This window comes from Homo sapiens, chromosome 7 (genome assembly GCF_000001405.40).
Source record: "Homo sapiens chromosome 7, GRCh38.p14 Primary Assembly".
NCBI lineage: Eukaryota > Metazoa > Chordata > Mammalia > Primates > Hominidae > Homo > Homo sapiens.
This window is the reverse complement of record NC_000007.14, coordinates 71730410-71740771: the sequence shown is the minus strand read 5'-3', so window position 1 is coordinate 71740771 and position 10362 is coordinate 71730410. Positions and strand designations below refer to the sequence as shown.

The window sequence follows — 10362 nt, the reverse complement described above, 5'->3', positions numbered from 1 at the left end:
TAACGTGATATTCTGCAAATTTGATGAAAGCTATGAACTTTCTCTTTCCCTAAAATGGACATACGTGCAAAATTTTAACAAAGGATCACATTTTCTTAGATAATAAACCAACGTATTTTCATTCCCAGCGTTAAAAGAAAACTCCAGACAAATTAAATTTAAGAAAGTTTAATTGAGCAAAAAAAAAAAAAAAAAGAAAGCAAGAAAATGATTTGTGAATCAGGCAGCCCCCAGAATCACAGCAGAGTCGGAAAGACCCCAGGGGTGCCTCATGGTCACAAGAAATTTATAGACTAAAAAAGAAAAGTGACATACAGAAATCGGAAGCGAGGTTCAGAAACAGCTGAATTGGTTACATCCAGCTTGGCATTTGCCTTATTTGAACAGAGTTTGGACACTCAGCAGCGCATGACTGGTTGAAGCATGGCCACTGGAATTGGCCAAGACTCAACTATTGTTACAGGCACATATTCCTGTTAGGTTTTCAATCTTGTCTACCTATTAAGTTAGGTTATGGTTCATCCACAAGGACTCAAATATAGAAACACGGAGTCCTTCTCAGGCCATATTTAGTTCACTTTAACATCAGTTATCCCTAATTCTCAGCTGGGCCAAGTCTCTCCCTCACCTATTCAACGAGAGGACTCACTGCTTCCAAGAGGGGGTGTATGTAGCCCAGGATAAAGCATTCTCATTTAGTTCTGTGTTTCAAACAATACTTTTCTGAGCCAATAGGAAACTCGCTGTTGTAGGCTTTTGTTGGCAGAGCAAAGGGTTTCTGAATTCCAATTGCCTCTCTTTACAACAGCAAGAGCCATGCTGGGTGGTCTGAATATAGACATTCACTGTGGCTGCTGGTGTTGGGAGGCTTTGATATCAAAGAGGTCCCGTTCCCCGCAGAGAAATGACAGCTGCCTTTCACCTTTCAACTAGGGAATTGTGGAGGACAGATTTGGAGAAGGCGGGAAAGAAGAAAGGTGGAAAGATAGAAGTAGAAGCTGAAACAGAGAGGGCTTTGGAATTTAGTGGGAAAATAGGTTCCTTGCAGAATGTCCTATGCCGACGTGTGGCAGCCAGAGGACTGTGGAAATAGAGGCCCGGCCCCTGGGGGCAGGTGAGGCTTTCAGCTACTCACGGCCTGTGCAGGGCCTGGAAGTTTCTGCCAGCACCACTGTAAGGACCTGGAATCAGCGAAGGGAACAATGACATAGAAAAAGCCTGGGGACAGGACAAGGTGGCCATCCACTATGGGTGCCCCTGGTTAACAGAGGTTGATGCCAGCACGACTCACAGTTGCTCTCTGAGACCATCCACCGGGTACAGGATGACAGACATCTTAAGAGAGGCCAGCAGTGACCCCCAGGATAACATATATGCCAGAGACACCGCCTCCTGCTGTCAGACTACATATGGTTATGTTTGAAAAGTTGAGAGAAAAGTTATAACTTTGAATTAACTAACCAAATTTGCTTTTTTTTTTTTTGAGATGGAGTCTCGCTCTGTCACCCAGGCTGGAGTGCAGTGGCACGATCTTGGCTCACTGCAAGCTCCGTCTCTCCTGGGTTCATGCCATTCTCCTGCCTCAGCCTCCCGACTAGCTGGGACTACAAGCGCCCACCACCATGCCCGGCTAATTTTTTTTGTATTTTTAGTAGAGACGGGGTTTCACTGTGTTAGCCAGGATGGTCTCAATCTCCTGACCTCATGATCCACCCCCGTCGGCCTCCCAAAGTGCTGGGATTACAGGAGTGAACCACCGGGCCTGGCCCCAAATTTGCTTTTGGAAAAATTTATTTTATGTTTAAACATTTTAAATTCTTTTTTAGAGACAGGGTTTCCCTCTGTTGCCCAAGCTGGAGTGCAGTGGTGCAATCATAGCTCACTGCAGCCTCAAACTCCTGGGCTCAAGCGATCCTCCTGCCTTGGCCTCCCAAAGCACTGGGATTACAGGCATGAGCCACTGTACTTGGCCTCTAGAGATGACTCTTAATACAACTTCCAGCTACCTAAACTTTAGAAGTTTCAGGATTGACAAGTGAGACCGGGGACCATGAAACCTGATGTTGCTTAGATGTTTTTTAAGTGAGCTGGTGGGTGGTGTTCCAGGAAGAGAAAGTCTTTGGCCCTACTGAGAGATGACAGCGTGCTGGCAGTCCTCAGAGCCCTCGCTTGCTCTGGGCACCTCCTATGCCTGGGCTCCCACTTTGGCGGCACTTGAGGAGCCCTTCAGCCCATCACTGCACGGTGGGAGCCCCTTTCTGGGCTGGCCAAGGCCAGAGCCGACTCCCTCAGCTTGCAGGGAGGTGTGGAGGGAGAAGGCGCGAGCGGGAACTGGGCTGCGCGCGGCGCTTGCGGGCCAGCTGGAGTTCCGGGTGGGCGTGGGCTTGGCGGGCCCCGCACTCGGAGCAGCCGGCCGGCCCTGCCGGCCCCAGGCAATGAGGGACTTAGCACCCGGGCCAGCGGCTGCGGAGGGTGTACTGAGTCCCCCAGCAGTGCCAGCCCACCGGCGCTGCGCTCGATTTCTCGCCGGGCCTTAGCTGCCTTCCCGCGGGGCAGGCCTCGGGACTGCAGCCCGCCATGCCTGAGCCTTCCCCTGCCTCCGTTGGTTCCTGTGCAGCCCGAGCCTCCCAGACGAGCGCCGCCCCCTGCTCCAGGGCGCCCAGTCCCATCTACCGCCCAAGGGCTGAGGAGTGTGGGCGCACGACACCGGGACTGGCAGGCAGCTCTACCTGCAGCCCTGGTGTGGGATCCACTAGGTGAAGCCAGCTGGGCTCCTGAGTCTGGTGGGGACGTGGAGAACCTTTATGTCTAGCTCAGGGATTGTAAACACACCAATCAGCACCCTGTGTTTAGCTCAAGGTTTGTGAGTGCACCAATCAACACTCTGTATCTAGCTGCTCTGGTGGGGCCTTGGAGAACCTTTATGTCTAGCTCAGGGATTGTAAATACACCAATCGGCACTCTGTATCTAGCTCAGGGATTGTAAACGCGCCAATCAGCGCCCTGTCAAAACAGGCCACTCGGCTCTACCAATCAGCAGGATGTGGGTGGGGCCAGATAAGAGAATAAAAGCTGGCTGCCCGAGCCAGTATTGGCAACCACCTCGGGTCGTCTTCCATAGTGGGGAGTGTTTGTTCTTTTGCTCTTTGCAATAAATTTTGCTACTGTTCACTCTTTGGGTCCACGCTGCTTTTATGAGCTGTTACACTCACCGCGAAGATCTGCAGCTTCACTCCTGAGCCAGCGAGACCAAGGAAGAAACTCCGAACACATCTGAACATCAGAAGGAACAAACTCCAGACGCGCCACCTTAAGAGCTGTAACACTCACCGCGAGGGTCCGCGGCTTCATTCTTGAAGTCAGTGAGACCAAGAACCCACCAATTCCGGACACACTACTGCCTGCATTTCAGAATAGTAACCTCTGTGTGTACTGAGAAACCTTTACAGTCATTGATGCGGGAATGGCCTCAACACTTGACTACTCTCCTTTTACCGGGAATCCCATGAATAACAGAGAAGATAGGTTTTTTTGTTTTGTTTTTGTTTTTTTGAGATTGAGTTTCACTCCTGTCATCCACGCTAGAGTGCAATGGCGCCATCTCTGGCTCACTGCAACCTCTGCCTTTTGGGTTCAAGCAATTCTCCTGCCTCAGCCTCCTAGCTAGCTGGGATTACAGGTGCCCACCACCACACCCAGCCAATTTTTGTATTTTTAGTAGAGATGGGGTTTCACTGTGTTGGTCAGGCTGATCTCAAACTCCTGACCCCAGGTGATCCACCCGCCTCAGCCTCCCAAAGTGCTGGGATTACAGGCATGAACCAACACGCTTGGCCAGAAGAAAGCTTCAAAAAGAAAAGGGGAAAAAAAATCAGTGAGAACCTAGGCAATGAAACCTTCTCCCAGGGCAGCTGTGTTCCTGACTTTGTAAACTTCTGACTTCTGTACCATGGGCCTGAGTGGGGGGAGGCGGGGGGAGGCGGGGGTAGCCTGGGAGAGCAGGGGCTATAGGCAGAATGTCTATCTTATGAATAGGAGAAGGGGAGCTCTGTTGCTTCTGAAGCATCCTGAGGGTGTGGGAGTGGACCTCACTCTAGGGTGGGTGCTCAGAAAAGCTATGTTGAAGAGAATTTGCATGAGTCAGAGTTACGCCAGTAAGGAAGATGTTATTCAAGATGATAGGGGAAGCTAACCCCGACTCTGCTGACACCATGGGCTGGAGGGCTTCTAAGCATAAGCACTGGGGTGCCCTAGTGCAAAAGTCCTGGAGGATGTTGGGGTAAGGTTGCTTGGTGGGATGTGCCAAGTACATTGAGTTGTTCCAGAGTTTGCAAATGTTTTTTTCTGTGATTGGGTCATCTGTGGTTGCTGGGCTCAAGCGATCCTCCTGCCTCATCGCCTCAGCCTCCTGAATAGCTGGGACTACAGGTACGCACCCCCCATGCCTGGCAGTGTTTCTTCAAGTTAATGGTAGAAGAGAAGGGAGGTCGGGGTGAGAGTCAAGAAGCCCATCTAAAGTCCAGTCAAGCTGAGTCTAGGTCAACCGTGTCCTTGCCCCTGAATTCCACAACTTCTGTTTCCTCTTGGAGGATCCTCTCAGTTGTGACACTTTGCCTTTTGCCCACTAGATGGCACTGCTGCAGTGCTTGCTTCAGAAACCTAGGCGATGGGAAACCGTCAGAGACCCAGGCAGGACCTTGGTGGCAAGAAGATTTTAATGCACAAATCTCCTCTACTCAGTGGCTTGTCTCTGGATTTCTCTCTATGGTGTTCATGGGGCCCTGAATGCCATATTTAAACTTAGAGTTTTGCTGAAGCACACAGCCCTGTCGTAAAAGCGATTGTATGCAGATTAGGGTTTCCCTGCTCATGCTTGCCTTTGGGATGTGGGCCACCAGGATTGGCCTTTGCTTGAGTGTCCTGATGGGCAGAGTTAACCAGCTCCTGGATGGCTCATGACCTCAGCGCTCTCGTGATAGCCACAAGAGTTGATCCTTGCTCTGCAACCCAAAGACTTGATCTGTTGTATCTGAAGGATATGACCACAGAGGTGGGCGTTTATTTTATTTTATTTATTTACTTACTGAGACAGAGTCTCACTCTGTTGCCCAGGTTACAGTGCGTTGGTGCAATCCTAGCTCACTGCAGCCTCGAACTCCTGGGCTCAAGCCATCCTCCCACCTCAGCCTCCAGAGTAGCTGGGACTGCAAGTGTACACCACTATGCCCGGCTAATTTTTTTATTTTTGTAGAGATGGAATCTTGCTATGTTGCCCAAGCTGGTCTTGAATGCCTGGCCTCAAGTGATCCTCCCACCTCAGCCTCCCAAAGTGTTGGGATTACAGGTACGTACCTTTGACCCAGTATATGGCAAAATTTGAAGCTTAGAATCAAGAAAGCTGAAAGCAAAGACAAAATGGGAGGGTTCTGTTATCAGGACAGAGTCTAGAAAACCCCCTGCAGAGATTTCGCCAGGGCGTGGCTGAATCACTCTGGAGCACATCCTAGGTGACAAACAGGCTCTCATACCCTCTTCTGACCTGAGCCCCCTCCAGGGACCCAGGTATGAAAGGTGGCTGTGATAACCCAGGAAATGAGCCTGGGATATCGTCAGGTTACCTGGGATAGTTAAGAGGTCTGGGGTGGACAGATGGAATGAGATAAAGTCCCTTGCATGGTATCCAGCATGTAAGGCATTTTGGTTGCTATTCTTTAAAAATGGATTACTGTTACTATTCTTAGTGACCAGGGGATCCATACTTTGAATTGCTACCTGCCTTTAATACTTTTGGGGGTTTCACCTCTGAGGATGGTGTCTGACATCTTGCTGTGCCCTAGCAAGGTAAGATGTGAGCAAGAACGCTACCTCGGCGGCTTCTTTTATTTTTAAAATTTTATTTATTTTTTAAAAATAAAGGCCAGGCACGGTGGCTCACACCTATAATCCCAGCACTTTGGGAGGCCGAGGCGGGTGGATCACAAGGTCAGGAGTTTGAGACCAGCCTGACCAATGTGGTGAAACCCCATCTCTACTAAAAATTCAAAAGTTAGCCAGGCATGGTGGCGCACACCTGTAATCCCAGCTACTCAGGAGGCTGAGGTAGGAGAATCACTTGCACCCGGGAGGCGGAGGCTGCAGTGAGCCGAGGTCGCACTACTGCACTCCAGCCTGGGAGACAGAGTGAGATTCCGTCTCTAAAAATAAAAATAAAAATAAAAATAAAAATAAAAATAGAGATGAGGTCTCGCTATGTTGCCCAGGCTGGTCTCGAACTCCTGGCCTCATGTGATCCTCTCACCTTGGTCTCCCAAAGCTCTGGGATTATAGGCATGAGCCATGGTGCCCAGCCCTCTGCAGCTTAACAAGTTCATGGGACTCATCAGGGCTTCATGTGTAGGATTCAGGGAATCTATGAGCTTGGATGGGAAAATTATTCCCTTTGTTTCGTTTACCTCTAAATGAAAGATAACATTTCCTTTAATTATGAATGTAAACAACAAACCACTGTAGACAAAACAGAACCTGACCTTTTGTCACCAACAGAAATCACAGATTTTTTGTCAAATTATAGGTGCTGCAGAAATCTTGTAATAACATTGATGCTCATACAACTTTGAAATTATAGCGAGTAGACCCATCACTTATGGTCTATTTAATGCATTAATCAAAAGTACATATAGTTCTAATAAAGTATACATTATTTATTTATTTTCTTTCTTTCTTTTTTTTGAAAAGATACAAGTTCTCACTTTGTCTCACAGGCTGGAGTGCAGTGGTGCCATCATAGCTCACAGCAACCTCGAACTCCTGGGCTCAAGTGATCCTCCCACCTCTTGGGTAATATCTTTATAGCAGTGTGAGAAAGGACTAATAACATTTCACAGTCTTAAACTCTAGATTTTTTTTTACAGTGATGCATTTTTTCACTTCAGCCTCCTAGGTAGCTGGGACCACAGGTGGGCCAACATGTCCAGATAATTCTTTTTTTTTTTTTTTTTTTTTTTTAGAGATGGGGTCTTGCTATGTTGCCCAGGCTGATCTGGAACTCCTGGTTTCAAGCCGTCCTCCTGCCTCTGGAAGGCCCCCAAATGCCTGGAGGTACAAGGCCAACCCAGGGCTGGTACCATGCGTCGCAGCACAGGCCAGGTCATAGAAGGGAACGTGTTCGCTAGCTCTGGTCTCCTCTGACCACCCCTCATCCCCATCCGCATCGCTGCTCCGCCGGGGAGAAATCAATGAAGCCTCACAACCCTCCTGCTTTCCTTCATTTCAGGGGAAAGGAAGCAGCGGAATCAAGGCCAGGCGCCAGCAGGGGGCGCTAGAGCATCGGTCTTCAGAGCCCGGCTTCCCAGCTGAGCTCCCGCGCGGGACGTCCAAGGAGCAGACACCTGCTCAGGGCGCCTCCCTCCTCGGGGGGCCTGCGGGTGCTCCAAACACCCGGCCAGACCTAGCCTTGGGCAGCCTAGGCCGCTTCACAGCTTGCTGTCGCTGTATACCTTAAAATTTGCATTCCCTTCAACAGGTTAGGTAGGACATTAGGGGGAAGCCACGACCAGAATGCAGTTCAGATTTCCAGCGGGGGCGCTGCGCCTGCAGGTGCTGGGAGAGCCAGCCCGCACCCCTCCCTTGCAAGACTGGCACTCCCTGTGTCTCCCTCTCCCTCCCTCCCTCCCTCCTTCCCTTGCTCCCTCCCTCCCTCCTTCCCTTGCTCCTTCCCTCCCTCCTTCCCTTGCTCCCTCCCTCCCTCCTTCCCTCCTTCATTTTTCTTCCCTCTTTCCTTCCTACTTTCCTCTCTCCTTCCTTTTCTTTCTCCTTCTCCCTTTTCTTTCTTTTTATCCTTCTTTCCCTCTTTTATCTTTCCTTCCTTCCTCCCTTCCTTCCACTCTCTTTGGCTTTCTCTGTAAATATTTCTCTCTTGTCTCTATTTTTCTAATTCCTTATTTATTTCTCCCTGTCACTCTGTACTTGTTTCTCTGTATCTCTTTATCTCTTTTCATCTCTCCTGTCCCTTTCTGCCTCTTTCTCCTTTTCCCTCTCCCTCTCTCTGTTACACACACACACACACACACACACACTCATGATTTTCTCCTAGGCCTGCAGCTCTTTGAGGCTGGAGGCCAGCCCTGCAGCTCATGAAATCCGGGAATCCGCAGGGATTGCAGTGGGTGGGCAGCCTCTTTAATAATTGCTTCCATAGTCAAATACTGCAGGCCCTTTTGTGACTCCTCCTCCAGGCAGACTCACCACAGGGCACAATGCAGCCTGCATTGTAGGTGGTGGTGTGCAAATCCACAGGTGCTAGCATCTCACAGAACATTCTCCTTCTACCACCAATGACCCGAGTCACCTGGGATAAGGTACTGAACCTCTCTGGGTCTGTTTCCTTGTTTAAATGGGCCTCTCCAAATTAGATTAAATCTTGTATCTAAACAGGGGTCTTGTGAGACTACTATGTGTGGAAGACAGTGTGGGGTTTTTGATTTGTTTTAGTTTGTTTTTTGAGATGGTCTTGCTCTGTCGCACAGGCTGGACTGCAGTGGTGCTATCATGGTTCGCTGCAGCCTGGATTCCCTGGACTCAAGCGGTCCTCCAACCTCAGCCTCCCGAGTAGCTGGGACCACAGGCATACGCCACCACACCTGGCTAATTTTTTGTATTTTTTGTAGAGACGAGGTCTCACTATGTTGTCCAGGCTGGTCTCAAACTCCTAAGTTCAAGCAATCTGCCCACCTTGGCCTCCCAGAGTGCTGGGATTACAGGCGTGAGTCGTCCTGCCCTGCCTGTAGACAGCTTTTGAAATGGCTCCCAGCGACGGCTGCCTCTTGTTGTTCACACCCCTCTATAATCCCCTCCCTTTGCGATGGGCCAAACTGAGAGACTCACTTCTAGCAAAAAGATTATGGCAAAAGTATGGGATTTCACTTCTGAGATTTGGCTACACAAAATTGATTTCCGTCGGGCCAGCTCTTCTCAAAGGTGCTCCTTGCTCACGTGCTTTGATGAAACTGTACTGTCATGAGCTGCCCTACAAAGAGGCCCACATGGTGAGGAACTCAGGCCTCTGGCCTCTGGCCAACAGCCAGTAAAGAACAGAGGGTCTCAGGCCAACTGAATCATCCCAACAATCGTGAATCTTGGAAAGGAATCTTCCCTCAGTTGAGCTTTCAAATGTCTCCAGCTGTACCCGACATCTTAATTGCAGCCTGGGAGAGCCCCTGAAGCAAAGGACTCCCCAAAGCTGCCTTCAGGAGATGACCCCCAGAGACTATGAGGTGATAAATGCTGTTGTTTTAAGTCACTGGATTTTGGGAGAATTTATTATGCAGAAATAGATAACTAACACAATATGTAAAAGATGTTGTGTTATAGCTAGAGCAGGCTAAAGTGCAGTAACAAATAACCCCAGACATGAAATGGCTCAACAAAACAATCCTGGTTTGGTATTCAGGTCAATGAGGAGGGTCTCTTTCATTCAGATATTTAGGGACTTAGATTCCTTCCCCCTTATGGCTCTACCATCCCCTAAGGCCCTGTTGTTTTCTGCATCCAGCCCAGAAGGAGAAAGGGAGCGTGGTCAAGGCAAAGTCACCCCACAAAAGCGCAGCCCCAAAGAGCTACCTGTGATATCTACTCACATTCTTTTGGGGAAAGTTATTATTATTATTATATATTTTTTTGAGATGGAGTCTTGCTGTGTCATCCAGGCTGGAGTGCAGTGGTGAGATCTCGGCTCACTGCAACCTTCACCTCCCAGGTTCAAGTGATTCTCCTGCCTCAGTCTCCCAAGTAGCTGAGATAATAGGTGCACATCACCACACCCAGCTAATTTTTTTGTATTTTTAGTAGAGGTAAGGTTTCACCATGTTGGCCAGGCTGGTCTCAAACTCCTGACCTCAAGTGATCTGCCCACCTAGGCCTCCCAAAGTGCTGGGATTACAGGCATGAGCCACTGTGCCTGGCCTCTCTTGGGGAAAATTATATCGCATGTTTCCACTTACTTTCTAAGGAGATTGAGAGCTATATCTACTGATGGTGGCTCCAATCTTAGAATGCATAGTATAGGCCTAGCCTCAAACTACTCAATATATATTGGCCCTAGGGAGTCTGGCCCTACCTAGGTTCTTCGTCTCCATGTCACCTCTCCTGACACTGAAATTGTCAGGGACTTGTCTACTGAGAAGTTCTTTCCTTTTTCTTTTTCTTTTTCTTTTTCTTTTTTTTTTTTTGAGATGGAGTCTCGCACTGTTGCCTGGGCTGGAGTGCGATGGTGCGATCTTGGCTCACTGCAACCTCCGCCTCCTGGGTTCAAGCAATTCTCCTGCCTCAGCCTCCCAAGTAGCTGGGATTACAGGCACCTGCCAC

General features: G+C 49.2%; 2 annotated features.

Moving 5' to 3' along the window:
- Positions 534–1066: an enhancer, noted in NCBI's record as "OCT4-NANOG hESC enhancer chr7:71204691-71205223 (GRCh37/hg19 assembly coordinates)". NCBI's record gives its function as "activates a minimal SCP1, AML or CMV promoter by ChIP-STARR-seq in naive H9 embryonic stem cells {active_cell/tissue: H9 hESC(naive)}" and the evidence as "EXISTENCE:reporter gene assay evidence [ECO:0000049][PMID:30033119]".
- Positions 7320–7509: an enhancer, noted in NCBI's record as "active region_26116". NCBI's record gives its function as "activates an Ori minimal core promoter by ATAC-STARR-seq in GM12878 lymphoblastoid cells {active_cell/tissue: GM12878}" and the evidence as "EXISTENCE:reporter gene assay evidence [ECO:0000049][PMID:35858748]".